Genomic DNA, 26,709 nt, shown 5'->3' on the forward strand with positions numbered 1-26,709 from the left:
CACACTACCACATCTGGCTAAAAACAATTTTTCTATTGTTTTTGTGGAGTCGGGGGTCTTGCTATGTTGCCCAGGTTGATGTCGAATTCCTGGCCTTAAGTTATCCTCTCACCTTGGCCTCCCAAAGTGCTGGGATTACAGGCGTGAGCCACCACTCCTGGCCTTTTTCTTAAAACAAGTGTTAGTCACTGTATTTTTTAAAAATAAGAAACATAAAGTAAAAAATGTTTAATATTAAAAGCAATATATTATGTGAAAGACTTTGCTTAAGGAGGCTGGATGTGGTGGCTCATACCTTGGGAGGCCAAGGTGGAAGGATTGCTTGAGGCCAGGAGTGTTTTTTTTGTTTGTTTTTTTTTGAGATGGAGTCTCGCTCTGTCGCCCAGGCTAGAGTGCTGTGGTGCGATCTCGGCTCACTGCAACCTCCGCCTCCCAGGTTCAAGCGATTTTCCTGCATCAGCCTCCCAGGTAGCTGGGAATACAGGCGTGTGCCACCATGCTGGCTAATTTTTGTATTTTTAGTAGAGATGGGTTTTCACTATGTTGGCCAGGCTGGTCTCAAACTTCTGACCTTGTGATCCGCCTGCCTCGGCCTCCCAAAGTGCTGGGATTACAGGCATGAGCCACCATGCCCAGTCAGAGGCCAGGAGTTTAAGACCAGCTTGGGCAACATGGTAAGACCTTGTCTCTATACAAAAATTTAAAAATTAGCCAGGCACGGTAACATGTGCCTGTAATCCCAGCTACTTGGTACGCTGGACCAGGAGGATCACTTAGGCCTGGAAGTTCGAGGCTGCAGTGAGCTATGATTGTGCCACTGCACTCCAGCCTGGGTCACAGAAACCCAGTCTTACAAAAAAAAAAAAAAAAAAAAAAAAAAAAGGCCAGGCGCGGTGGCTCACACCTGTAATCCCAGCACTTTGGGAGGCCGAGGCGGGCAGATCACGAGGTCAAGAGATCAGACCATCCTGGCAAACATGGTGAAACCCCGTCACTACTAAAAATACAAAAATTAGCTGGGTGTGGTGGTGCACGCCTGTAGCCCCAGCTACTCGGGAGGCTGAGGCAGGAGAATCACTTGAACCCGGGAGGCGGAGATTGCAGTGATCTCAGATCCGCCACTGCACTCCAGCTTGGCGACAGAGTGAGACTCTGTCTCAAAAAAGAAAAAAAAAAAAAGACCAATAAAACATCCAGATGAATCACTAGAGGGTGCCGTCATCCTAAAAAAGTCAAAACTTTCACAAAGCCATTTCCTCAACTGGCCCACAACTACCCTGATAGAAAGCCAACTAGGGGGGTCGGGGGTTGGGGGGGAGAGAGCATCAGGAAGAATAGCTAATGGATGCTGGGCTTAATACCTAAGTGATAGGTTGATCTTTGATCTTTGCAGCAAACTACCATGGCACGTTTACCTTTGTAACAAAACTGCAAATGTACCCCAGAACTTAACGTTAAAGTTGAAAACAAGCCGGGCGCAGTGGCTCACACCTGTAATCCCAGCACTTTGGGAGGCCGAGGCAGGCGGATTATGAAGTCAGGAGTTCGAGACCAGACTGGCCAACATGGTGAAACCCCGTTTCTACTAAAAATACAAAAAATTAGTCAGGCGTGGTGGCACATGCCTGTAATCCCAGCTACTTGGGAGGCTGAGGCAGGAGAATCGCTTGAACCCGGGAGATGGAGATTGCAGTGAGCTGAGATTGTGCCATTGCACTCCAGCCTGGGCAATAAGAGCAAAACTCCGTCTCAAAAAAAAAAAAAAAAAAAAGTTGAAAACAAAGTTTGATACTTCTAATATTTGGAATTAGTCACAACATATAGGCATTTACATAAATTTCATTATTTTAATGCTATTTTTCTTCCTTTCATTATAATCCTCAATGACTGCCTTACCTCTGCCTACCCTTTGACTTCATAGATTATACCATTATCCCTTTCCCTCAATGGGTTCCATCCATACTGGCCTCCTTCCACTCAGGCTCTGTCCAGCCTGACACTCTTAGCCCTTCCTGTTCCCTCTGCTCAGAATGTTTTTTCTTTTTTATTTTTTTGAGACAGAGTGTTGTTCTGTCACCCAGGCTGGAGTGCAGTGGTGCGATCTCAGCTCACTGCAATATCCACCTCCTGTGTTCAAGCGATTCTCCTGCCTCAACCTCCCGAGTAGCTGGGACTACCCGCGCGCGCCACCACGCCCGGCTAATTTTTGTATTTCTAGTAGAGAGGGGGTTTTACTGTGTTTCACTGTGTTGGCCAGGCTGGTCTCAAACTCCTGACCTCGTGATCCGCCTGCCTCAGCCTCCCCAAGTGCTGGGATCACAAGCGTGAGCCACCGCGCCCGGTCAGAATGTTTTTTCAATAATTATTCTTTGAATGGGTCCTTCCCATCATTCAGGGGACTCAACTGTCAATTTCCAAAGAAAGATCTTTCCCAATCATCTGACTTTACGTAGCCACCCTCCAGCTTCCACTTATTTTGTTTTGTCTTCAAAGCATTCCAGAACAATACTACCTGCTGTGTTTGTTTCCCTACTATGCTTCTCCCTAGAATGTGGCGTCCATGAAAGAATGTGGATAAGAACTTTCCTGGTTCACAAAGTTAAACCCAAGGCTGAGGTCATACATGACGGGGGCTTGTAAATATCAACTAATATTTTAATATAAATGAGTCTGAAATCAGGACACTTCTGGGTTCAAGTCCCCGCTGCCACTTTTTAGCTTCTGAGTGACTTGAGGCAAATGATTTCGCCTCTCTGGACCTCTTTTTTCATCTGTAGCTTGGGGATAACACTGACTAACATGGCCACGCTGAGCACTGCAAATCTAGCCTGATTGCCAGTCAGAATGCACGCCCGGCCTCGCTGTTTCAGGAGGGCTGTCCTCCGGAGTTCAGCAAGGTTAAAGGCAAACCTCTGCCTCCACAGCCTGGCAGGGGACTGGTGGCAGGATGTCAGCCCTCCGTTTCAGGGGTCTAAAGGAACACAGATTTCGTTTTTGGTGGAGAAAGGACAGAGCCAGAGGCTGGGCAGCGAGCGGGGCCTGCTCACCGCTTGGAGATCTCCTGGTAGCGTAGCTGCAGCTTCCCCTGCAGGTCATGCTGTGGGAAGAGGAGAGGAGAGGTCGGCCTGCAAGGCACCCCAGGAGAGAGGAAAGGAGAGGGCAAGGGACCAGGGATGGTCCGGGGATGCGCATTTTAAGGGAAGGCAGGGGATGAACACTCGGGGAAACGGATGTGGGTCCTGCAGGTGAAGAGCAAAGCCAGAGTCCGGGCCCACAGATCCAAGGCTAAGAAGGTCGGGGACTGGGGAAATCCCAGGCCTGAGTGGTTCCCAGGCCAGGAGAGGGTCCCGGGCTGAAGGGGTGACTAGCTGGGGGTTCCCAGGGAGATTCGGGGAGAGCGAAGGGTCCCGGCTTAGGAGGGAGGTGAGGAGCAGGAGCGGGTCCCGGACACACGGAGCCCGAAGCCCCCCATGGTGCAGCCCTGTCCGCCCCGCGCACCCCGGACGCCCAGTTCCGCAGCCGCTGGATGAGACGGGTGGCGGACGCCATCTTCCGTCCGCGATACTGAAGGGCGCAGCCGGTGACGTCTCCACCGCTGGGGCTGCTGGGAAAGACGCGGCGTGGTATCGCGAGACGGGAGTGGGCGGTGCTAGAACGTCCTATAAAGGCTCTCCCCGAAGCACGTGACTCCTCTCCGCCAGACCGCCGCCGCGCCGCCATCATGGACACCAGCCGTGTGCAGCCTATCAAGCTGGCCAGGGTGAGGTGGGGGCCCGAATTTGGGGGCAGGGGGAGGGATTAGAGGAGCCAAACGGGCCGGGTCTGAACCCAGCTTCTTTCCTCCAGGTCACCAAGGTCCTGGGCAGGACCGGTTCTCAGGGACAGTGCACGCAGGTAATCGGGTGGGGGCATTTGGCCGACTGCCGGCGACCTAAACCCTGATGTGACCTCTACCCTGCCCTAACCCCTGCCAGCCGGAATCCGGGAGCCGATTCTCATTTCATCACGGGGTTCTGATGGTTCCCTTTAACGATCTGTATTCTGGCCCCGACACGTTCTCTGAATTCATATCTGCTTCCCACTCCGCGGTGCCTTTCCGCGGCCCGCCCTTACTTCTTCCTCCACTCCGGTGGGGACCCGTAGGTGCGCGTGGAATTCATGGACGACACGAGCCGATCCATCATCCGCAATGTAAAAGGCCCCGTGCGCGAGGGCGACGTGCTCACCCTTTTGGAGTCAGAGCGAGAAGCCCGGAGGTTGCGCTGAGCTTGGCTGCTCGCTGGTGGGTGCAAAGAGGACACCCCTTTGATAGACCTTTGGTTGGTGGTAGGGAGGCTTCGTTAAGCCCAGGGTGAGAGGGTTTGGGAGGCAGAGTCTACATACAGAGACTGACAAGAGGGAGGCGGGAGTTTGCCAATTGCTGCGGGGCCTGTCAACATCTCATGTTTGGGTCTGTTTACAGGGTCTTGGATGTCGGGTTCGACCACTTGGCCGATGGGAATGGTCTGTCACAGTCTGCTCCTTTTTTTTGTCCGCCACACGTAACTGAGATGCTCCTTTAAATAAAGCGTTTGTGTTTCAAGTTAACTCAGGTTCTTGTCTGGGTTATACGACTAGGGTTTCTCCAGGTTTCTTGAGTGGCTCCCAGGCGGTCACCGATCCTCCGCACTCTGGAAATCCTGGCCGTGCGGTCTTGCCAAACGAAGCTTTTCCTTTTTGAGGCGGGGGGTCGTGTTTGTCGATTGCACCCTCTACCCCAAACAAAACACAAGCGTAGTAGGAATGTTTTATTAGCAAAGAAGTTTCAGAGAGTGGGTGGATCAGGGCTCTATCACTTGGTCCCCACCTCACCTTGGTGGGGCCAGAGTGAGCCCCTTCCTGCCACAGTCACCCCAACTGAAATTGCCTTTCTCTTCGGCCAGTGTTAGCCTCTGAGCAGGGGACCCTGGACCCTTCTGTGCGCCAAAGGCTGAGGTGACTGACGAGGAGATCTCCCCACAGCTAGGTGTAGTGAGCCAGACGAGGCAGCTTACTGAACCTGGGGGTTCTCTCCATTGTCACCGCATTCTCCTTCACCAGGTGTGGCTGTCTGGGAGCCAGGGGGTGACTCGCTCTGGAGAGAGGGGAAAAGAGGGGGGCCTGCTGCAATCTCCTTGAGGCAGGAAACGTGGGATTCAGCCCCAGCCTCACTTAGTGGAGGTTCTTTTACCATGGACCCAGGCTGCCTGGTTTGTATCCAACCTCTGCCCCTTCTGACCTGGAAGAGGCGCTTGACCTTCCTCCCACATCCCTTCCAGTGGGGTGAGTACAGGTGTTCCTCAGTTTACAATGGGTTACATTCCGGTGAGTACATCATAGGTTGAAAGTATTGCAAGTTGAAATGTGTTTAATACACCTAATCTCCCAAACATCACAGCTTAGCATGGTCCATCTTAAGCTTGTTCAGAACGCCTTAGCCTGTAGTTGGGGAAACTCGTCTAACACGAAGCCTGTTTTAATAAAGTATTGAATGTCTTATGTAATTTATTGAATACTCTGCTGAAGTGTGGTTTTTACTAAGCACACATTGCTTTTATGCTATCATGAAGTCAAAAAATTGTAAGTTGTGCCAGGCGCGATGGCTCACAGCTGTTGTAATCCCAGCTACTTGGGAGGCTGAGGCAGGAGAATTTCTTGAACCTGGGAGGTGGAGGTTGCAGTGAACTGAGATTGTGCCGCTGCACTCCAGCCTGGGTGACAGAACGAGACTCTTGTCTTCAAATGAAAAAAAAAAATTAGCTGGGCATGGTAGCACGTGCCTGTAGTCCCAACTACTTGAGAGGCTGAGGCAGAAGAATCGCTTGAACCCCAGAGGTGGAGGTTGCAGTGAGCTGCAGTCGCCCCACTGCACTCTAGCCTCGGTGACAGAGGAAGACTCCATCTCAAAAATAAATAAAAAATGGTAAGTGGAGCCATGGTAAATTGGGGTCAACCTGTACAGGATGAGTGGGCTGATTAGATAACTTGGATTATGAAAGTGCTAAAACATCCTGGCACTTGGCCATCAGAGTATAGTGGTGTTGGGGGTTAATGTGTTCTGCAAACTCACCCAGTCTCCAGTTCTGAAGCTCTGGACCCCCTTCCCCACCCTGCCTGATGCCAAAGGGCTCCTTTTTCCTTTGATAAGAGCCTCCCTGGCAGTAGGTAACAGGAGCCCAGGGGCATGCATGAAAGGTCTTAGCTAGGTCTCTGTGACCTTAGGTTACTTCCCCCCTTGAGGACTCAGTCTCATGACCTGGGGTAGTGTCAACCTCACTGGGGTTTTGCTGCTTTCACATCAAATCCCAGCCCCTGCCAGGCGCTCTGGTTTCACACCTGTAATCCCAGCACTTGAGGATGCTGAGGCAGAAGGATCCCTTGAGCTCAGGAGTTTGTGGCTGCAGTGAGCTCTGATCACACCACTACACCCCAACCCGGGTTACAGAGTGAGACCCTGTCTCCCAAAAAAGAAAAGCAGCCACATAGGAGAATCCAGACACTGGTTCTGCACCCCTGGTGCCACCTTTGGGGAGCAGAAAGGGAGGCTCAGGGCATATTTACTATCCTCTGCAAACTGAATTTGCAGCTGGGAAAGTTTGTTTCTTCCAGAGCTGTGCTCACCTGGGTGTCGGGCTGGCCCGAGCTCAGGTGGGCATGTAGCAGAGCGGCCACCTCATCCTGCTCAGCCTCCAGGGCGATGGCCAGGGCACTGGTGCCCTCCTGTGGAACGTTAGGGACAGTCAGATCCCTGAGCCAAGCCATGGGCACCCCCCAAGATGCCAGCCCCATTGTGGGGTCTTACATTGTCCAGGATGGCAGGGTCACAGCCTGGCTGGGTGAGCAGCAGCCGCACGGTGTCCAGGCGCCCATACTCACTGGCACACATCAGCGCTGTGGCCCCATCCGCATCCTGCGCATTCACATCAGCCCCACACGCCAGTAGGGTTGCCACCATGTCCTGTCGGCCATGGCTGATGGCCAGCATGAGGGCTGTCTGCCCCGTCTGGGGAGTGGGGAGGAAGAGGGAACAGGCTGGGGTAGGCTCAGGGAAGGGAGGTCACAGGTTGACTCCCAAAGTGGAAGTGACTCCTGGCTGAGAGCCACAGTGGGGGCGCCCACGCACCTGACTGGCCTTGGCATTGACATCACCCATGCAGAAGAGTCTCTGGACCACAGCCATGTCCTCCTCTTCCTGCCTCACAGAGGTGAGTGCAGCCAGCATGAGGGCCGAGTAGCCGGCTCGGTTCTGGCGGTTGACCTCGCAGGCCCCTGGGAGAGAAAAGGGGGCCGTCCACGGAGATGCCAACACCGCGGCCCGACTTGATCCACTCACCTCCCTGCAAGCCTCGGGCACAGCACCTGCATATGGGGTGGTCTCAACGTTCTCCCCACAATAGCTACCTGGTTCCTCCCTCACTAAGGTGTTGCTCAAATACCATCTGCTCAGTGAAGGACCTTCCTGTTTCATCTTTTTTTTTTTTTTTTTTTTTTTTTTGAGACATAGTCTCGCTCTGTCACCCAGGCTGGAGTGCAGTGGTGCGATCTCAGCTCACTGCAATCTCCACCTCCGGAGTAGCTGGAACTACAGCATGTGCCATCACACCCAGCTAATTTTTGTATTATTTAGTAGAGACAGGGTTTCACCATGTTGGCCAGGCTAGTCTCGAACTCCTGACCTCAAGTGATCCACCCACCGTAGCCTCCCAAAGTGCTGGAATTAGAGGCATGAGCCACTGGCCCAGTGGCTATTTCAAATCAAGTCCCTGTTTCAAATCAGGCAGGGACTTGGTTTTGTTTGCTTCTGTATCCCTCAGTACTTAGAACAATACTTGGCACATAGTAGATGCTCAGTTAAACATTTGTTGACTGAATAATAAAAGGATATGTTTATTTTCATGGCCACCACCCGCCAAGCCACCATCATTGCTCCCCTAAAGAACAGTGCCAGCCTCCACCCTTCTCTCTGAATCCACTCCAGGTTCCACACAGCAGCCAGGAGCAACTATTTATTTATTTAGAGATGGAGTCTCATTCTGTCGCCCAGGCTGGAGTGCAGTGGCACGATCTCAGCTCACTGCAACCTCTGCCTCCCAGGTTTAAGCGATTCTTCTGCCTTGGCCACTTGAGTAGCTGGGATTACAGGCATGCACCACCACGCCCAGCTAATTTTTGTATTTTTAGTAGAGACGGTTTCACCATGTTGGTCAGGCTGGTCTCGAACTCCGACCTCATGATTCGCTTGCCTCAGCTTCCCAAAGTGCTGGGATTACAGGTGTGAGCCACCGCGCCTGGCCAAGAGCAACAATTCAAAATGAATTTGGTTGCCAGGACACTGGCTCACGTCTGTAATCCCAGCACTTTGAGAGGCCGAGGTGGTTGATCACTTGAGGTCAGGAGTTCGAGACCAGCCTGGCCAATGTGGTGAACCCCATCTCTACTAAAAACACAAAAAATAGCCAGGCGTGGTGGCAGGCACCTGTAATCTCAGCTACTCAGGAGGCTGAGGCAGGATAATCACTTGAACCTGGGAGCTGCAGTGAGCCAAGATCACGCCACTGCACTCCAGCCTGGGTAACACAGTGAGACCCTGTCTCAAACAAACAAACAAAAACACCTGCCAACACCTTGATTTCAGACTTCTGGCCACCTGTTGTAAAAAAAAAAAAAAAAAAAAAAAAAGCCAGGTGCAGTGGCTCACGCCTTTAATCCCAGCACTTTGGGAGGCTGAGGCGGGCGGATCATGAGGTCAGGAGATTGAGATCATCCTGGCTAACTCAGTGAAACCCCGTCTCTACTAAAAATACAAAAAAAAAAAAAAAATTAGTCGGGTGTGGTGGTGGGTGCCTGTAGTCCCAGCTACTCAGGAGGCTGAGGCAGAAGAATGGCATGAACCCGGGGGACGGAGCTTGCAGTGAGCCGAGATTGCGCCACTGCACTCCAGCCTGGGTGACACAGCTAGACTCCATCTCTCAGAAAAAAAAAAAAAAACCTGCCAACACCTTGATTTCAGAAGTCTGGCCACCTGTTGTTTGAAGCAGCTCACAGTGATACTTTGATGGCAGCCCTAGGAAGCAAAACAGCCTGGTCAACACTGCCTATCCTGAATGAAACACAAACGTGAGCTCAGTTTCCTCTGGGATCAGTTCTGTTACCATCCTGGTCCCTGTTCCTCACAGTGCCTGTTTGGATGATATTTCCTGGAGTGGCTGTTTTAATCCCTGTCTCCTGCCATTCTGAAGGCTCTGAGGATTGAGGTAGTTTAAGGAAATGAATGAGAAGCTTGGGGAAAGGAGCGGGGTCGGGGTCATGAGATGGATAACCTAGTGAGGAAGGAGAGCTGAGATGAGGGACTGAGGAGTAAAGGGTTAAGTCAAATGACAGCAAAAATGGAGGCCAGGCATGGTGACTAACGCCTGTACACCCAAATGCTTAGGGAGGCCAAGGCAGGAGGATCACTTGAGGCCAGGAGTCTGAGGCCAGCCTGAGCAACATAGGAAGACCCCCCCATCTCTTAAAAAATTTGGCCGGACACGGTGGCTCACGTCTGTAATCCCAGCACTTTGGGAGGCCAAGGCAGGCAGATCACAAGGTCAAGAGATCAAGACCATCCTGGCCAACATGGTGAAACACCGTCTCTACCAAAAATACAAAAAATTAGCCAGGCGTGGTGGTGTGCGCCTGTAGTCCCAGCTACTTGAGAGGCTGAGGCAGGAGAATCACTTGAACATGGGAGACAGAGGTTGCAGTGAGCCAATATCACACCACTGCACTCCAGCCTGGTGACAGAGCGACACTCTGCTCCCCGCCAAAAAAAAAATTAGCTGAGTGTGGTGGTTCATGCCTGTGGTCCCAAATACTCAGGAGGCTGAGGTGGAAGGATCGCTTGAGCCTGGGAGGTTGAGGCTGCATCACGCCACTACACCCCAGCCTGGAACAAAGCTGTCTGTAAAAAGGGGTTGGGGGGACGTTCCCTGTTTGGGTGGCATGCTGTGTGGGTGTCCATGCCTTCCACTAAGACACCGTGTAAGGCGTCAGGTGGTCAGGGAGGAGCACCCAGAAATAACCAGAGTGGGGTCCTTGCAGGCTAGCCAAGGACCCACCTATCTTCCTGCTCCCTCTCCCTTTTCTCTTGCAGCTACCTTGACCTTGCTTAACTAAAGAATCACCCTGGCTAGGCACAGTGGCTTACGCCTATAATTCCAGAACACTGGAGGCCAAGGCAGGAGGATCACTTGAGCTCTGGAGTTCGAGAACAGCCTGGACAACAGAGCGAGACCTCATCTCTACTAAAAATACAAAAATTAGCCGGGTGTGGTGGAGAACGCCTGTAATCCCCGCTACTTGGGAGACTGAGGAGGGAGGATCAATTAGGCCCAGGAGTTGGAGATCAGCCTGAGCAACATGGTGAAACCCCATGCCTACAAAAAAATTTAAAAAGAATCACCCTTTGTTGACTTCATCCCCTGGTTGTCTTCTGCTACGGCCCTTACTAGCATTTGAAATTATTTCACGTTTTTACTTGATAATCGTCTCTCTCCACTCTTCACTCACCACCCCCACCACACACACACACACACACACACACACACACACACACACACACACACTCAAAACTACACATTCCTGAAAGTTCTGTGGGAGCAGGCATTTATTCAACACTTGACGGTTTGCTGTGGGTTTGTCAGGCAGGCAGGTAGGGTCGGGTGAGAGAGGGGTATGGAGAAGAATCCACAACAGGCTGAAGGAGGATGACAGAGGCAAAGAGACAAGGGGTGGGGGCAGTGAAACGGAGAGGGAGCAGTGGGTAATTGTCCCCGCAAGGTCCAAGGATTACTGGAGTTGGGGAATGGGAGCCTGTGAGCCGAGAAGCTGGGAGGTGAGGGTCGGGAAGTGGGGAGCTGAGAAGTGAGATTCTGTAACGGGCACAACTATTAGGGACATCAAGGTCTGGGGCTGATGTTATACCTGTAAAGCTGATGTGGGGCAGAGTCAAGGTCAAGGAAGGAGAGCAGCCAGGAGGTTGCAGGGATCATGGGGGAGGATGTTGAAATTGACAAGTGGGCCGAGCGCGGTGGCTCACGCCTGTAGTCCCAGCACTTTGGGAGGCTGAGGTGGGCGGATCACGAGGTCAGGAGATCGAGACCATCCTGGCTAACACGGTGAAACCCCATCTCTACTAAAAATACAAAAAAAATTAGCCGGGCGTGGTGGCGGACACCTGTAGTCCCAGCTGCTGGGGAGGCTGAGGAAGGAGAATGGCATGAACCCGGGAGGCAGACCTTGCAGTGAGCCGAGATGGCGCCACTGCACTCCAGCCTGGGTGACAGAGCGAGACTCCATCTCAAAAAAAAAAAAAAAAAGGAAATTGACAAGTGCCGGCTGGGTGCGGTTGCTCACTCCTATAATCCCAATACTTTGGGAGGCTGAGGCGGGCAGATCACCTGAGGTCAGGAGTTAAAGACCAGCCTGGCCAACATGGTGAAACCCCGTCTCTACTGAAAATACAAAAATTAGCCGGGCATGATGGCGCTTGCCAGTAATCCCAGCTACTCGGGAGGCTGAGGCAGGAGAATCACTCGAACCCGGGAGGCAGAGGTTGCAGTGAGCTGAGATCTGAGATCACACCACTGCACTCCAGCCAGGCAACAGAGCAAGACTCGGCCTCAAAAAAAAAAAAAAAAAAAAAAAAAAGACTAACTATAGAATGCTCTGGAAATGCAATCTTGAGATAAGGAGGAACTGACTGGAACAGCCTAGGCTCTGTTCCTGTCCCCATCTAGAAACAGGTTGTCCTTTAATGCATTAGCCCAGCAATTCCTGTTCCCCAGGGTATAAAACCTAGAGTGGGCCGCTTTCCAGGGTCCCTCACCTGCCGTGCAAGTGGGGCACCTGCAGACCAGATTCCATACACCTTGGGCAGCCTTCCTGAGCCTTGGGGGATTGGCTCACTGTCAATCTTAGGCTTCTGCTGTCCCTTGCTGCCTATCTGTAAATAAGGAACCTGCTTTGTGTAACTTGTTATGTGAATGAGTATTCTACCTTACCAGACTCAGGCAGGTAGGAAAAGCACATTCCTAGGTGCAATGGGCTGAAGGGGTAACCAGTGCACAGTGGACCTGCTTTGCAGCAAGGATTAGGCTGGAGGGAGAGAGGGAGAACTGGCCAGGAGCTAAAGTTCAAGAAAGGAGGAGCTACTTGAGGTCAGAGGTAGAAGCCAGAGAGGCAGAGTGAGGAGGGGCCTAGTCAGTGACAAGATGCTCCAAGGTAGGGTTTGAGAAGGAAGAGGGTGAAAGGTCTGGAAGTGGAGAAGAAGAGCAAAGTGCACACCCACGTACCTCCAGACTCTGGATTCCAGGGGATGAAAGAGGAAACAGCCCCTGAATGCAGGGGCGTTAGTGTATGTGACAGCAAGCAAGTACAGGCAGAGGGGAGATGAGTAAGAACCAGGGGAAGGTCTGGAGAGGTGGAGCCAAATGGGAATTAGAGGCTGGGCACACTGGCTCACGCCTATAATACCAGCACTTTAGGAGGCCTAGGCAGGAGGATCACTTGAGGTCAGGAGTTCAAGACCAGCCTGGCCAACATGGTGAAACCCATCTCTACTAAAAATGTAAAAATTGTCTGGGCACGGTGGCTCACACCTGTAATCCCAGCACTTTGGGAGGCTGAGGCAGGCGGATTACCTGAGGTCGGGAGTTTGAGACCAGCCTAACCAACATGGAGAAACCCTGTCTGTACTAAAAATACAAAATTAGCTGGGTGTGGTGGTGCATGCCTATAATCCCAGCTACTCGGGAGGCTGAGGCAGGAGAATCACTTGAATCTGGGAGGCGGAGGTTGCAGTGAGCCGAGATTGTGCCATTGCACTGTAGCCTGGGCAAAAAGGGCGAAACTCCATCTCAAAAAAAAAAATACAAAAATACAAAAATTAGCTGGGTGTGGTACACGCGCCTGTAATCCCAGCTACTCAGGAGGCTGAGACATAAGAATCACTTGAACCCGGGAGGTGGAGGTTGCAGTGAGCTGATATTGCACCACTGCAGTCCAGCCTGGGCAACAGAGCAAGATCTGTTCGAAAAAACAAACAAGGCCGGGCAAAGCGGCTAATGCTTGTAATCCCAGCACTTTGGGAGGCCGAGGCAGGCAGATGAGTTGAGGTAAGCAGTTTGAGCCTGGCCAACATGTTGAAACCCCGTCTTTACTAAAAGTACAAAAATTAGCCGGGCGTGGTGGCGGGCGCCTGTAGTCCCAGCTACTCGGGAGGCTGAGGCAGGAGAATGGCGTGAACCCGGGAGGCGTAGGTTGCAGTGAGCAGAGAGATCATGCCACTGCACTCCAGCCTGGGCGACAGAGCAAGACTCCATATCAAAACAACAACAACAAAAAAGGGGTGGGGGGGGGATTCAAATGTAGGAGATAAAGGGGCCAAGGAGCCTGGGGCCTCTTGCAGTGACCAACGACGCCTACTTCCTTGCCGCAGCCCCAGCCCCCTTTAAGGCATGAGATGCCCAAAAAATTCACTTAGATTCATTCACTGTCCCCTGTCTCCTACAATGCCCCAGCTTCCAGAGCAGCTATATCCTTTCCTAGGTCATAAAGACCTGCAGGGATGGGAGGGATCTGCGTGTTTAGGGGGTTGGGGGCAGGCAGTGGGACCCGCCTCAACCTGCAGTTAGTACCAGAGGTGCCCAAAGGCTGACTCAGAGGTTTCTGAACCTGCAGGAGGGTACCTGGAGGGAGGGGGCTCCTGGTGGACAGCGATTTGTTTACCACCCACCAGACCCTTTGTGCCCAGTTTATCAGGGCAAGCAGCTGGAGGTGGGTGGGGCACAGTGCCCCATCCCAGGAGGAGTCAGAGCCCTGCCTGGTGAGTACCTCCCCTCCAGGCTGGACACTGGGGCTCAGGAACTCGGTGAGTGCTCCAGCTGGAGATTCAGGGACAGAGCACATGCTGGCCATTTACTGATCTCGTACTACCTGTATTATCATAGGTACCCAGGGAGGGAGGCCTTGCCAACCCCATTTCACAAGCAAGATTAAATAATGCCCCTAAACTGAGGTTTACCTAAGTCCAGAACTGTGTATTCCCTCCAGCTGCAAAGTAGGAGGAGCCTCAGGGCAGAACTAGGGGTATGGTGGGGCCAAAAGGCCTCTTTTTTTTTTTTTTTTTTTTTTTTTTTTTGAGATGGAGTCTTGCATTGTGGCCCAGGCTGGAGTGCAGTGGTGCTCACTCTTGGCTTACTGCAACCTCTGCCTCCTGGGTTCAAGTAATCCTCGCACCTCAGCCTCCCGAATAGCTGGGATTACAGGTTCCCACCACCACGCCCAGCTAGTTTCTGCTTTTTTGTTTTGTTTTGTTTTTGTTTCTGAGACTGAGCCTCACTCTGTCGCCCAGGCTGGAGTGCAGTAGCACGATCTCAGCTCACTGCAACCTCTGCCTCCCAGGTTCAAGCAATTCTCGTGCCTCAGCCTCCTGAGTAGCTGGAATTACAGGCATGTACCACCACACCCAGCTAATTTTTGTATTTTTAGTAGAGATGGGGTTTTGCCATGTTGGCCAGGCCGGTCTCGAACTCCTGACCTCAAGTGATCTGCCCACCTCGGCCTCCCAAAGTGCTGGGGTTAAAGGCATGAGCCACCATGCCTGGCTCAGAGGGCAGAAGGCCTTTGGGAACCCAGACAGGAAGAGGTTTAAAACCCAAGGAGGTTGGCTGGGCGCAGTGGCTCAGGCCTGTAATCCCAGCACTTTGGGAGGCCGGGGCAGGCAGATCACGAGGTCAGGAGATCAAGACCATCCTGGCCAACATGGTGAAACCCCGTCTCCACTAAAAATACAAAAATTAGCTGGGCATGGTGGCGCACATCTGTAGTCCCAGCTACTCGGGAGGCTGAGGCAGGAGAATCGCTTGAACCTGGGAGGCGGAGGTTGCAGTGAGCCGAGATCGCGCCACTGCACTCCTGCCTGGTGACAGTGTGAAACTCCGTCTCAAAAATAAAATAAAATAAAATAAAATAAAATAAAATAATAAAATTAAAATAAAATAAAATAAACTCAAGGAGGAGTGGTGCCCTGTGCTGGACAGCCATTCTCTGCTTTCCTCTCCAGAGTCTTTGAGCCTAGGTCAGCCCCTGCCCTCTCCCCCCACCCATTTCCTGGTGTCCCACCCACCCTCCCTTGGCTCTGACCCGTATCCAGGAGCAGGCTTGCGATGGCCAGGTTCCCGTGGGACACACTGTAGTGCAGGGCCGTGTTCCCGTTGCCATCCGCCAGGTTCACCACGTGCGCCAGCAGTTCGGGTCCCAGGCGCCTCACCCCTTCCAGCATCCTGGCCACGGGCTCCGCCTGAGAGCGCCGCTGGCTGGACACTCGAAACCACTCCTGGGCCACGAGGCGCACTGCGCCCTGCAAGGGACAGGGGCCAAGATAACATCGGCGATGGTCCACGGCGGCGCCGTGGTGGGGGAGCTGGGGAGGGGCGGGACTGGGAAGAGACCCATTTGGCGTTTCCAGGCAAGTAAGGAAGGTCACTCCTCGTCCAGGTGGGGAGCCATGCGAACCCAGATGGAGGGCTGGGGCCACACCCCTATCGGAGGGCAAACACGGGGGAAGGGGGTCCTTTCCTTCCAGGGAAGAATTTGCGGGAGAACATGGAACGGGGAAAGGCAATGAACGCTTGCCCTTGGGGAGTCCGGGAGTGGGGCTGGGGCCGGGCCTTTTTGGGGAAACCAAGGAAAGATCGGCGCTGTCCTGGGAAGGAGATCCCTTCGGAGAGCCTGGGGTCAGGCGAGGTGCCTGGCGGGAAGGGATGGAACCCGGTGTGCTCCCCTAAGTGGGCGTCAGAGGTCCTTGGAGGCTCCCACGCCACTCCCTGGTGCTGCGCTCCCGGGGCACTCACGCCGTCGCTGGCTACTCCGCGGGGCCGGCTCAGCTGCCGCTGCAGCGCTACGCACGCCTCCCTCAGACGCGGGCTCAGCTCGCACCTGCAGAGGAGGCCAGGAGAGACTCAGGATGGATCGGGGACAGCGCCGACCAGGAGGAGGGCAGCCGCCTCCTCTCCAAACAACTAGCGAGCGCCGCTCACCTCCCCTGTGCCACCTGCTGAGGCTCTGCCTCCGCCTCGGGCTCAGGGTCCCGGATGTCCCCGCCGCTGGGAGGGCCAGGGGTGCCCGAGTCGGATCCCCCGCCGCTGTCATCCCCGGAGCCCGAGGAGCTACCCGGGGGCTCGGCGCCACCGTTCTCGCTGTCGCCATCGCTGTCGCTGGCGTCCTCGCTGGAGGAGCTCTCGTACCTGGGGGCAGGGTGGGAGGTGTCTGCTAAACCTCCCCTGTGGGCTCGTTCTGGAGTCCTGCGATGTGGGTGTGGCCGTTCCCATTTAACGATGAGGAAACTGAGGATTGCCCAGACCACGCTGCCAGTAGAGGGGCAGAGCTGGGGTTCCAACCCCAGTCTATGTCCCGGCAGAAGCTGCCACAGGAGGGGAAAGGCGCTCACTCTCCGTTGAGGACCCCAACAAACTGCAGGCTCTTGGGTCCGGAGCTGGGTTGGGCACCAGGTGTGCCGTCTCTCTTCTTCATGATGGATTTGAGGATGCCTGGCGGGGATGAGATGAGGGCACTGAGTTCGAGTCCGGCGCCGAGTAAGCCAGGGCCCAGCGACGGGGTCGGGACTCACCCGCGGGCGCCACGGCCCTGTCTCCGTCCATGGATCCGGGCGAGCTCTCCTGAGTCAAGGAGGGCGCCTCTGCCGGGGACTCGGTCTGCGCGGCCTTTTCGGCACAGCTCCACGGGGTCTGGGTGGTGGCCTCGCGTAGCTGGGCCCGGGCCCCCGCCGCTGCCTCCTCCGCAGCCTCGCGGGCTTCCTCCAGCTCCCGCAACCGGCCCCGCAGAAGCTCACTCACCCCGCGCTGGTGCTCCAGACTGGCGCGCAGCAGCTCTAGCTCGCGCTCGGCGGCCGCAGGCAGCCCCAGCAGCGCCTCGGTCACCCACGCGTCCGCCTCCACGGTCTCGGGGGCAGCCTCCACGCCGGCCTCCCGGGTCTCCGGCACGGCCTGGGCACCCGCTTCTCGGGTCTCGGGCACGGCCTCGGCGGCCACCTCCCGGGTCTGGGGCGTCCCATCGAGACTCCCGACCTCCCCGTCGAGGACCTGGAGCGCGCCCTCGCTGCGCCCTGCAGCCAGGCCGTCTGGGCTGTCAGCCCGGGGGCTGGCCCTGGCACGGCCGCCGCGCTCGGAGGTGGCCAGGCGCTCGGTGAGCCGCCGCAGCTGGGCGAGCTTGTCCGGGCGCGTCTCAGCCTCCCCGTCCGGCTCGGGCTGCGCGCGCCCGGCCAGCAGCCGCGCCTTCTCGGCGCGCAGCGCGCGCACCTGCTCCTGCAGCTCGGGCAGCGTTCGCGCCTGGTCCTCGAGCTCGCGCAGGCGCCGCAGCGCCGCGGCCATCTGCTCGCGCACCAGCTGCAGTTGGGCAGGGCCGGGCGAAGCAGGGGCAAGGTTAGGGGCGGGGCTGCTGCGGCCGGACCCGCGTGGGCTGCGCGGGACCCCGCGGCCGGGGCTGGGCGCGCGCTCGTGTGTCTGCGCCAGCTCCAGCCGCCGGCTGGTCTCCCGGAGCGTGTGCTCGACGCGCGGGTTGCGCACGGGCGCGCGCGGCGACAGCGGCTGCATCAGGAGCCCCGAGGGCGCGCCCTGGGAGAGTATGCCCGGTGCTCCACCGTCGTCACTGGCCAGGGACTCGCTGGATGTCCAGGCGCCTGGGCTACGTGCGCCCGCGAGGCCGGGCCGGGGCGCGCGGGGACGGCGCGAGGTCGGGGGTCCCGGGGCGCGGCGGGCAGCGGGGCCACGCTCCAGCTCCTCTATGTACTTGAGGAAGTCCAGGTCCAGGTGGAAGCCGTAGGGCGTCTCCACCGAGTAGGGCGAGCTCGGGCTGCGTGCGCCCCCGGCGGCGGGGACCGGGCACAGGCGGGGGCCGCCCAGGTCTGGAGGCACGACGGGGGCACGGGGAGGGCGCATCAGAACGGGGAAACCCGGGAGATACTAAACAAACCGAGCGTGTCCCCCACCCATGCCCACGCTTCACACCTATCTGTACCCAAGTATTAACTCAATCGCTTGTTTAATGAGCACCTACTCTGTGCTAAGCAAGTTTCTAGGCCCGGGGGACACAGCAGTGAGCAAGACAAACATCCCTGTCCTCCTGTAGAAAGCAGATAAGCATCCTTCCAAACGATGCCTACGGCAATGGTAATAATAACAGGGAATAAACGGAGGAGGCCCGATTTAGCGTTTGGTTGCCAGGGAAGCTTTCCTGTGAGGGGACTTTCCTGTGGAGTGGAGCCCTGGCCCGGCGTGTGGTTCGCGCCTGTAGTCGCAGCATTTTGGGAGGCCGGCACAGGCGGATCACCTGAGGTCAGGAGTTCCAGACCAGCCTGGCCAACATGGTGAAACCCAGTATCTGCTAAAAATACGAAAATTAGCTGGGCGGTAGTGGCGCGCGCCTGTAATCCCAGCTACTCCGGAAGCTGAGGCAGGAGAATCACTTGATCCTGGTAGGCGGAGTTTGAGGTGAGCCGAGATCGCACCAATGCACTCCAGCCTGGGCGACAGAAGAGAACCTCTCAAAAAAAAAAAAAAGTAGCCCTGGCCGGGCGCAGTGGCTCACGCCTCTATCTCAACACTTTGGGAGGCCGAGGCGGGTGGATCGCTAGAGCTTAGGAGTTCGAGACAAACCTGGGCAACAAAGTGAGACCCCATCTCCAAAAATATATATATACACATATACATATATATACATAGCTGTGCATAATGGTGAGCTACTCAGGAGGCTGAGGTGGGAGGATCACTTGAGCCTGGGAGGCAGAGGTTGCAGTGAGCCGAGATTGCACCACTGCACTCCAGACTGGGTGACAGAGTGAGACCCTGTCTCAAAAAAAAAAAAAAAAAGGTTGGCGAGGGGAAGCCCTGCACGATGAGGAGGAAGCAGCTGGGAAAAGGTTTCTAGAAGAAAACAGCCCATGGAAATACCCTGGGGTAGGAGGGAGGAGGGTCAGCTGGAGTCACAGCGAGATGGAGACCAGGGTGTCCCGAGCAGAGTAAAGAAGGCAGGGGGAAGAGGAATGGACGCACAAGGGCCACACTTCCCTGGTTTGAGGGCTACCTGGGGTGGCAGGGGGTATAGTCCACTTGCGATTAGTGCCATAGGTGGGGTGTTTTTTGTTTTGTTTTTTTCTTTTTTTTGAGACGGAGTCTTGCTCTGTTGCCCAGACTGGAGTGCTGTAGTGCGATCTTGGCTCATTGCAGCCTCTGCCTCCCAGGTTCCAGCAATTCTCCTGCCTCAGCCTCCTGAGTAGCTGGGACTACAGGCACGCGCCACCATGCCTGGCTAATTTTTTTTTTTTTTTTTTTTTTGAGACGCAGTCTCGCTCTGTCGCCCAGGCTGGAGTGCAGTGGCACAATCTCTGCTCACTGCAAGCTCCGCCTCCCGGGTTCAAGCCATTCTCCTGCCTCAGCCTCCCGAGTAGCTGGGACTACAGGGGCACCACCATGCCCGGCTAATTTTTTGTATTTTTAGTAGAGATGGGATTTCACCGTGTTAGCCAGGATGGTCTTGACCTCCTGACCTTGTGATCTGCCCGCCTCGGCCTCCCAAAGTGCTGGGATTACAGGCATGAGTCACCACACCGAGCCGTGCCTGGCTAATTTTTGTATTTTTAGTAGAGACAGGGTTTCACCATGTTGCCCAGGCTGGTCTCAAACTCCTGATCTCAAGTGATCCGCCCACCGTGGCCTCCCAAAGTGCTGGGATTACAGGCATGAGCCACCGCACCCGGCCATGATTGATGCCATAGGTGGTTTAAAGCAGGCTCATGACATTGGAGAGGACTGCACTCTAGGGCTGTAGGCTGCGTCCACACACAAGGGCATCAAGCGTTTCTCTGTGCATGCGCACACACACACACATCTCTCTTTTTGCACACTCACCGGGCAGGTTCTGATTCAGGGCAAACTTGGCCATGTTTCCTGCAGCAGCTGTCAGAGGCACCCTGCAAAAGGGGTGAAGGTGGGGCTGGGCGCTGTCCCTCTGGCTGGAGCCTCTGGGGCCTGCCTTTGAGTCTAAGCAAACAGGACCCAAGAGCTCTCCTCCACCCAGCCACCTCCCTCCACACATGGCCTCTCCTTCCTCTTCCCTAAAGAAACCTTGAAACTTTTTTTTTTTTTTTTTTTTTGGGACAGAGTCTCGCTCTGTCACCCAGGCTGGAGTGCAATGCCACAATCTCGGCTCATTGCAGCCTCCCCCTCCCGGGTTCAAGTGAATCTCCTGCCTCAGCCTCCCAAGTGGCTGGGATTACAGGTGCCCACCACCACGCCTGGCTAATTTTTGTATTTTTGGTAGAGATGAGGTTTCACCATGTTGGCCAGGCTGGTCTCGAACTCCTGACCTCAAGTTATCCGCCTGCCTCGACCTCCCAAAGTACTGGGATTATAGGCATGAGCCACCGTGCCTAGCCGACCTTGAAACTTTGGATGGAATGAATGATCCCCAGGTGTCAGATGTCAGCCTGCTGGGCAGGAGGAAGCAGGAAAGACATCAAGCAAAAAGAAGAAGGTGACCAAGAAAACAAGGGTAGCTGGGAGTTGGGGAGGCATTCCAGACCTGCTGGGTTTTCTGATAATCTCTGGGGAAAATCAGAAATGGACGCTCTATGTAGTGGACTATGAGCCTTTAGGAAAGAAAGACCAGAGTTGGAAGCCCTTCACAGGATCATTAAAAACTCATCTAGGCTGGGCGCGGTGGCTCACGCCTGTAATCCCAGCACTTTGGGAGGCCGAGGAGGGCGGATCATGAGGTCAGGAGATCGAGACCATCCTGGTTAACACGGTGAAACCCCATCTCTACTAAAAATATAAAAAAGTAGCCGGGCGTGGTGGCAGGCGCCTGTAGTCCCAGCTACTCGGGAGGCTGAGGCAGGAGAATGGCGTGAACCCGGGAGGCGGAGCTTGCAGTGAGCTGAGGTGGCGCCACTGCACTTCAGCCTGGCAACAGAGCGAGATTCCGTCTCAAAAAAAAAAAAAAAAAAAAAAAAAAGGATGTAATTGTGCATCCAAATTTTTACCAAGGTCAGTTGTGAAACTCTTGCAGGAATGATGGGGAATTGCGGGCTGGATGCACCAAAGATCCAAATCAACAAATCAACGGATACTTGTCTCCCTGGAATGTCGCTAGCGGAGTGTCACAGGCTTGATCCTTGGCTTGTAAGAGTTTGTAATGCAAACACAAAACACCTGGGTTGTCAGAGCTGTGACTATTCATGGGGCTGCCTGGGAAAGTGACTGTTTGGATGACATGATGGAGGCTGTAAGAAAGTGAGGAAGATTGGGCCACATATAATAATGTGATATTTAACAAGGACAAATATTGAATCCAGAACTTTGGTTCAAAAAGCACAGGGTGAAATCTCAGCACTCTGGGAAGCCAAAGCAGAAGGATCGCTTGAGCCTAGGAGTCAAGACCCACCTGCGCAACATAGCGAGACCCTATCTCTTTTTGTTTTTTTTTTTTTTTGAGACAGAATTTCCCTCTTGTTGCCCAGGCTAGAGTGCAGTGGCACAATCTTGGCTCACTGCAACCTCTGCCTCCTGGGTTCAAGTGATTCTCCTGCCTCAGCCTCCTGAGTAGCTGGGATTACAGCCACTGCTACTATACCTGGCTAATTTTTTGTATTTTTAGTAGAGATAGGGTTTCATCATGTTGGCCAGGCTGGTCTCGAACTCCTGACCTCAGGTGATCCACCCACCTCGGCATCCCAAAGTGCTGGGATTACAGGCATGAGCCAAGGTGCCTGGCCACTATCTCTTTTGTTTGTTTGTTTTTAAATAGTGAAACCACCAAGCACAGTGGCTCACAAGCCATTGCTCTCCAGCCTGGGCAACAAGAGCGAAGCTCTGTCTCTAAATAAATAAATAAAATAGCGAAACCCCATCTCTACAAAAAACACAAAAATTAGCTGGATGTGTTGGCATGCACCTGTAGTCCCAGCTACTCAAGAAGCTGAGGCAGGAGTATCTCTTGAGTCCAGGAGATGCAGGCTGCAGTGAGTTATGATCATGCCACTGCATTCCAGCCTGGTTGACAGAGCAAGACCTTGTCTCAAAAAAAAAAAAAAAAAAAAAGAAAAGAAAAGAAAAGAAAAGCACAGGAACATGGAGTGGGAAAGATGGGCTTTGGAAAGCCCACATGGAAAACCTTCAGGGAGGGGAAAGTGCCTACGGTGTGCCCTTCCTGATTAAATGTCATCGCCATAGCTGGACACAATGGTGCATGCCTGTAGTCCCAGCTACTCAGGAGGCTGAGGCAGGAGAATCGCTTGAACCTGGGAGGCAGAGGTTGCAGTGAGCTGAGATCATGCCACTGCACTCCAGCCTGGGGGACAGAGCCAGACTCCGTCTCAAAAAAAAAAAACCATATATATATATATATACACACACACACACACACACACACACACAGCCCCCATACAACACTTTGCATACTGCAAAGTAGTATTATTATTCATATTTTACAGATGGAGAAACTGAGGCACAGAACAATTAAATCAGTTGCCTGTGGGAAGCACCCTCAGATTGGGCTCTGCCCATCTGCGGAACCCTTGTCAGCAGGTCCCTGCCACAGCTTCTGACTGCCCTTTACCTGTCCAGTCCTCCACTGACAGGCATCTGCCAAACCCACTTCATCCTCTCCCTGGGCCACGGCCCGTCTGTGCTAACCACATGGCAACACTCCCAGCCACCCCTTCTGGCTTCTCGAATCCCTGGGACCACCTGTGTGCCTGATGCTATGAAGCACTGAGCACCCACCAGCCCTCCTGACTCATTACCCTACTCCACCGCTGGGGAAACCGTAACTCCATTTCCCACTTCTGTCTGGCCGAGGTCCCTGACCTCTCCCTTCCCACTCCAAGGCCAGGCAGGGGGCCTCTTCCAGTCCCCAAGCAGCTGTTTCCCGTCCCTTCACACCAGCTGCAAGGGGTGGATCAACAGGCCAGCGGGTCATCGCAGAGGACAGCCAATGCCGTTCATCACTTGTTTTCAGGAAATTGCCAGGGAAGAACTGGGTTGTGGAAAAAGTCCAGATCAAGGGTTGGGGGGTCTGGGTCTACTTCTCACACAGCTGGCCGTATGACGCAATGGGGTCAGCGTCCTCCTCCGGTGACCTGGTCACACCCAAATCCCAGGCCCTGGGATCTCAGAAGACAGCTGTGGGCCATTCCTAAGACCTAAACTAGCTGAAGCAGTTGGATCCAGAGGCTGGGCTAAGAAAGGAATGGATCCCTCCAGAATGTCAAATAATAACAACGCTTTTGATATTTACTATGGGCCAGCCTCTAGTCTAAGGAATTTATGGATATTTACTTTTTTTTTTTTTTTTTTTAGAGGCAATGTCTCGCTCACTCTGTCACCCAGGCTGGAGTCAGTGGCTCGATCATAGCTCACTGTGGCCTTGAACCCCTGAGCTCAAGTGATCCGCCTCAGCCTCACAAATAGCTGAGACTACAGGAATGGACCTCTACACCTGGCTAATTCAGGCTAATATTTTAAATTTTTTGGTTTTTTGTTTTAGATGGAGTCATGCTCTGTCGCCCAGGCTGGAGTGCAGTGGCACAATCTCAGCTCACTGCAATCTCCGCCTCCCGGGTTCAAGTGATTCTCCTGCCTCAGCCTCCCAAGCAGCTGGGATTACAGGTGTGCACCACCATGCCTGGCTAATTTTTGTATTTTTAGTAGAGACGGAGTTTCACCATGTTGGCCAGGCTGGTCTCAAACCAGGCGTGAGCCGTGCCCGGCCTAATTTTATTTTTTGTAGATACAGGTGTCTTGCTATATTGCCCAGGCTGGCCTCCAACTCCTGGGCTCAAGCAATCTTCCCAGTTCAGCCTCCCAGAGTGCTGGGATTACAAGCATGAGCTACTGCACCTGACCTTGACTTATTTTTTAAAATCCTAGCTAAATCCACTGAGGTTGGATTTCCTATGATCATTGTCCCTTCCCCTATTGTACAGATGGAGAAACTGAGACACAGAACAGTTTAGTGTCCTGCCTGGGTCCTGTCATAAACAGGCAGAGGCAGGTTTTAAACCCAGGCAGGTCTTCCAGAGTCCTTGCTTTGGCCACTACACTTGAATGCTTTCTTTTATTTTTATTTTTGAGACGGAGTCTCTGTCACCCAGGCTGGAGTGCAGTGGCAGGATCTCGGCTCACTGCAACCTCTGAGCCCAGGGTTCAAGCGACTCTCCTGCCTCAGCATCCTGAGTAGCTGGGATTACAGGCACTTGCCACCACAGCTGGCTAATTTTTGAATTTTTAGTAGAGACGGGTTTCATCATGTTGGTCAGTCTGGTCTCAAACTCCTGACCTCAAGAGATCAGCCCTACTTGACCTCCCAAAGTGCTGGGATAACAGGCATGAACCACCAAGGAGCCTCAGGGGGCTTGTCCCTCCCAGCCTACACCTGTGTCAGACTCTGATTGGGGGCGGAGGTGCCCACCACCTCTGCGGCTTCAGGGGCTGGGGCCTCACTAAGTGGGGCGTTTAGCTGCCTTCCCTCTCCTCCGCTCCCTGCCCTGACTGTCACAGCTAGATCCGGATTCTGTGCCTGAGACCCCCTCATTAGGCCGTCAGAGCCGACGCCACACGCCCCCTCTCCCGCCCCAGGGACTATTTTGGGACGCAGAGCTGTGATCACCAAACCGGAGTGGTGGGGGCCACGGCAGGCCAGTGAGGATCCCAGTCCTGGGGAGAGGGCGCCTTCCAGGAGGCCCTGAGTACTGGCAGCCCCTGATGTCTGCTGGGACTCTCAGACTCTTGAGGTGGGTGGGTGGGGGACCGGTGGCGGCAGGAAGGTGGGTGTTAAAGTCATCATCACCCGTCCACCCCCAGGTCGTCCTAGCCGCACAGAGACAGAGCAGTTTCCTACAGGAAGCGCCGCCGGGCGGTTCCATCCGCTACCCATTGTCTGCGGGTCCGGGGGCCGTGCGTCCCTCCCCAAAACACCATTTCCGTGACACGCTCCCACACCCAGCCCAGCGCGAGGGGCTGGCTGGGGTCCCCAGGCCGTCCCGGGAAAGGGTCCCAGGGCCGGTTGTGGCATTAGGGAGCGAACGAGCCCCGCAGTGAGCTCCCGAAGGGCGAGAGGGGGGCAAGCCCACGCCTCCAGAGCCCCCCACTCTGCTCGCTACCCACCTGGGACTTCCAATGTGGGAGGGGTCCCGGCCAGAGGACACGACGCCCGCCCCGTCGCAGCGGGCAGAGCCCTCAGTGGGGCTGGAAACGCAGCGCAGCGCCGGGTCCCGGTGCGTCCCCGAATCCACCCACCCAGGGGTCCCCCATCCGTGTCCCCGCAAGCTGGCAATTTACCTGAAGCCGCAGCCCCAGCCGCGCCCGCACCCGAGCCCGCCCCCTCGAAGTCCGGGGACTGATTATCAAGGCCTTCGCCCTAACTGACGGCCACGCCAGCCAACCAGCACCCGAGGCTCTCCAAGCCGCCCAGTGGGACGGTGGGGTGGGACAGGCAGGCGGGGCCTGGAATGTAGGGGTGGTGACTGAGGGCGGGCCCTGGAGTGACGGTCGCCGAGCGCTGGCTGGCGGCATTTCTGCACCAGCAGAGGTCAAGTCTCTGCCCAGCGCCGGGCCAAGGAGCTTGGATTTGATCCACAGGCACGAGGGAGCCATGGGAGAACTATGAGTAGAAGAGTAACCCGGTGGGATTTCTATAACTGGCACTTATTTCGCAGTGCCTGGGTGAAGTATCAGGTCCCGGATCTTCCCCACCGCAGGGCCTCTGCACATGCTGTTCCACCTACCTGAAATGCTTTCCCTTGCACCTGTACACGTAGGTACTTTTTGAGGCTCCCCTACTGTTTTTTGTTTTGTTTTGTTTTTGTTTTTTGAGACGGAGTCCCAGGCTGGAGTGCAGTGACACTCACTGCAACCTCCGCCTCCTGGGTTCAAGCAATTCTCCTGCCTCAGCCTCCCGAGTAGCTGGGATTACAGACACACACCACCACGTCCAGCTAATATTTGTATTTTTAGTAGAGATGGGGTTTCACCATGTTGGCCGGGCTGGTCTGGAACTCCTGACCTCAAGTGATCCGCCCGCCTCAGCCTCCCAAAGTGTTGGGATTACAGGCGTGAGCCACCGCGCCCGGCCTTCCCTACTTTCTGAGGTTCAGCTTTTGTGTTGCTGCCCCCTAAATTCCTGACATAGCCCCTCCCCAGTTAGTATTTTTCTCATCACTCTATTGTATTAACCTAATAGCTACTTTTACTATCTGGAAAAAAAAAAAAAAGCAGACTCTGTTATTGGCAGGCGCAGTGACTCACGCCTGTAAATCCAGTATTTAGGGAGGCATAGATGGGAGGATAGCTTGAGCCAGGAGTTGAGACCAGCCTGGGCAACATAGCAAGACCTAGTTCTCAAAACAAAAGAAAACAACAAAACAAAAAGACAAAAACGAAACACTCAGTTATTTATTTGGTTTATTTTTTAATTTAATTTAATTTTTTTTTAGACAGAGTCTCGCTCTGTCCCAGGCTGGAGTGCAGTGGTGCGATCTTGGCTCACTGCAACCTCTGCCTCCTGGGGTTCAAGCGATTCTCCTGCCTCAGCCTTCTAAGTAGCTGGGATTACAGGCGCACACCACCACGCCCA

At 54.5% G+C, this 26,709-nt stretch overlaps 3 protein-coding genes across 9 annotated transcripts in view, besides 12 other annotated features; 1 reads left to right on the top strand and 2 right to left on the bottom strand.

The window, feature by feature from the left end:
* The window catches only part of NDUFA7 (NADH:ubiquinone oxidoreductase subunit A7), a 12,781-nt gene extending 9,215 nt beyond the window's left edge, over positions 1 to 3,566 (bottom strand). For both annotated transcript variants that reach the window (NR_135539.2, NM_005001.5), the window contains exons 1-2: positions 3,499 to 3,566; positions 3,048 to 3,097 (exon numbers count right to left, since the gene is read on the bottom strand). Coding sequence is in view for 1 of the 2 variants with exons in the window: in NM_005001.5 (NP_004992.2) it covers positions 3,048 to 3,097; positions 3,499 to 3,549 (101 nt within the window). In the remaining variant the exon portion in view is untranslated. The remainder of the gene's footprint in view (positions 1 to 3,047; positions 3,098 to 3,498) is intronic.
* Positions 1,686 to 2,653: an enhancer, noted in NCBI's record as "H3K27ac-H3K4me1 hESC enhancer chr19:8384379-8385346 (GRCh37/hg19 assembly coordinates)". NCBI's record gives its function as "activates a minimal SCP1, AML or CMV promoter by ChIP-STARR-seq in naive H9 embryonic stem cells {active_cell/tissue: H9 hESC(naive)}" and the evidence as "EXISTENCE:reporter gene assay evidence [ECO:0000049][PMID:30033119]".
* Positions 2,654 to 3,621: an enhancer, noted in NCBI's record as "NANOG-H3K27ac-H3K4me1 hESC enhancer chr19:8385347-8386314 (GRCh37/hg19 assembly coordinates)". NCBI's record gives its function as "activates a minimal SCP1, AML or CMV promoter by ChIP-STARR-seq in naive and primed H9 embryonic stem cells {active_cell/tissue: H9 hESC(naive and primed)}" and the evidence as "EXISTENCE:reporter gene assay evidence [ECO:0000049][PMID:30033119]".
* Positions 2,654 to 4,589: a biological region, named in NCBI's record as "NANOG-H3K27ac-H3K4me1 hESC enhancers GRCh37_chr19:8385347-8386314 and GRCh37_chr19:8386315-8387282".
* Positions 3,476 to 3,715: an enhancer, noted in NCBI's record as "active region_13912". NCBI's record gives its function as "activates an Ori minimal core promoter by ATAC-STARR-seq in GM12878 lymphoblastoid cells {active_cell/tissue: GM12878}" and the evidence as "EXISTENCE:reporter gene assay evidence [ECO:0000049][PMID:35858748]".
* Positions 3,622 to 4,589: an enhancer, noted in NCBI's record as "NANOG-H3K27ac-H3K4me1 hESC enhancer chr19:8386315-8387282 (GRCh37/hg19 assembly coordinates)". NCBI's record gives its function as "activates a minimal SCP1, AML or CMV promoter by ChIP-STARR-seq in naive and primed H9 embryonic stem cells {active_cell/tissue: H9 hESC(naive and primed)}" and the evidence as "EXISTENCE:reporter gene assay evidence [ECO:0000049][PMID:30033119]".
* Positions 3,687 to 5,531, top strand: RPS28 (ribosomal protein S28). Of its 2 annotated transcripts, NM_001031.5 has the most exons (4): positions 3,687 to 3,760; positions 3,847 to 3,894; positions 4,144 to 4,282; positions 4,463 to 5,531. In NM_001031.5, exons 1-3 carry the CDS (start codon positions 3,722 to 3,724, stop codon positions 4,264 to 4,266), a joined length of 210 nt encoding a protein of 69 aa, NP_001022.1. In that variant the 5' UTR covers positions 3,687 to 3,721; the 3' UTR covers positions 4,267 to 4,282; positions 4,463 to 5,531. The 2 variants fall into 2 exon arrangements, with proteins under 2 accessions (NP_001022.1, XP_047295157.1); XM_047439201.1 differs by lacking the exon at positions 4,463 to 5,531 and having other exon boundaries at positions 4,144 to 4,288.
* Positions 4,590 to 5,555: an enhancer, noted in NCBI's record as "H3K27ac-H3K4me1 hESC enhancer chr19:8387283-8388248 (GRCh37/hg19 assembly coordinates)". NCBI's record gives its function as "activates a minimal SCP1, AML or CMV promoter by ChIP-STARR-seq in naive H9 embryonic stem cells {active_cell/tissue: H9 hESC(naive)}" and the evidence as "EXISTENCE:reporter gene assay evidence [ECO:0000049][PMID:30033119]".
* KANK3 (KN motif and ankyrin repeat domains 3) lies at positions 4,775 to 25,453 on the bottom strand. Of its 5 annotated transcripts, none has more exons than NM_198471.3 (11): positions 25,416 to 25,453; positions 19,986 to 20,047; positions 16,691 to 17,983; positions 16,511 to 16,610; positions 16,101 to 16,307; positions 15,915 to 15,999; positions 15,205 to 15,421; positions 7,142 to 7,287; positions 6,821 to 7,021; positions 6,640 to 6,738; positions 4,775 to 5,113 (listed from the first exon to the last, which is right to left on the bottom strand). In NM_198471.3, exons 2-11 carry the CDS (start codon positions 20,017 to 20,019, stop codon positions 5,030 to 5,032), a joined length of 2,466 nt encoding a protein of 821 aa, NP_940873.2. In that variant the 5' UTR covers positions 20,020 to 20,047; positions 25,416 to 25,453; the 3' UTR covers positions 4,775 to 5,029. The 5 variants fall into 5 exon arrangements, 4 of the variants coding, with proteins under 4 accessions (NP_940873.2, XP_006722781.1, XP_011526186.1 ...); XM_006722718.5 differs by having other exon boundaries at positions 25,242 to 25,453; XM_011527884.2 differs by lacking the exon at positions 25,416 to 25,453 and adding an exon at positions 21,119 to 21,532.
* Positions 17,199 to 17,298: a silencer, noted in NCBI's record as "silent region_10016". NCBI's record gives its function as "represses an Ori minimal core promoter by ATAC-STARR-seq in GM12878 lymphoblastoid cells {active_cell/tissue: GM12878}" and the evidence as "EXISTENCE:reporter gene assay evidence [ECO:0000049][PMID:35858748]".
* Positions 17,459 to 17,648: a silencer, noted in NCBI's record as "silent region_10017". NCBI's record gives its function as "represses an Ori minimal core promoter by ATAC-STARR-seq in GM12878 lymphoblastoid cells {active_cell/tissue: GM12878}" and the evidence as "EXISTENCE:reporter gene assay evidence [ECO:0000049][PMID:35858748]".
* Positions 17,679 to 17,728: a silencer, noted in NCBI's record as "silent region_10018". NCBI's record gives its function as "represses an Ori minimal core promoter by ATAC-STARR-seq in GM12878 lymphoblastoid cells {active_cell/tissue: GM12878}" and the evidence as "EXISTENCE:reporter gene assay evidence [ECO:0000049][PMID:35858748]".
* Positions 17,829 to 18,088: a silencer, noted in NCBI's record as "silent region_10019". NCBI's record gives its function as "represses an Ori minimal core promoter by ATAC-STARR-seq in GM12878 lymphoblastoid cells {active_cell/tissue: GM12878}" and the evidence as "EXISTENCE:reporter gene assay evidence [ECO:0000049][PMID:35858748]".
* Positions 22,461 to 22,961: an enhancer, noted in NCBI's record as "H3K4me1 hESC enhancer chr19:8405154-8405654 (GRCh37/hg19 assembly coordinates)". NCBI's record gives its function as "activates a minimal SCP1, AML or CMV promoter by ChIP-STARR-seq in naive H9 embryonic stem cells {active_cell/tissue: H9 hESC(naive)}" and the evidence as "EXISTENCE:reporter gene assay evidence [ECO:0000049][PMID:30033119]".
* Positions 24,896 to 25,687: an enhancer, noted in NCBI's record as "H3K4me1 hESC enhancer chr19:8407589-8408380 (GRCh37/hg19 assembly coordinates)". NCBI's record gives its function as "activates a minimal SCP1, AML or CMV promoter by ChIP-STARR-seq in primed H9 embryonic stem cells {active_cell/tissue: H9 hESC(primed)}" and the evidence as "EXISTENCE:reporter gene assay evidence [ECO:0000049][PMID:30033119]".

Source organism: Homo sapiens, chromosome 19 (genome assembly GCF_000001405.40).
Source record: "Homo sapiens chromosome 19, GRCh38.p14 Primary Assembly".
In the NCBI taxonomy this organism is placed as follows: domain Eukaryota; kingdom Metazoa; phylum Chordata; class Mammalia; order Primates; family Hominidae; genus Homo; species Homo sapiens.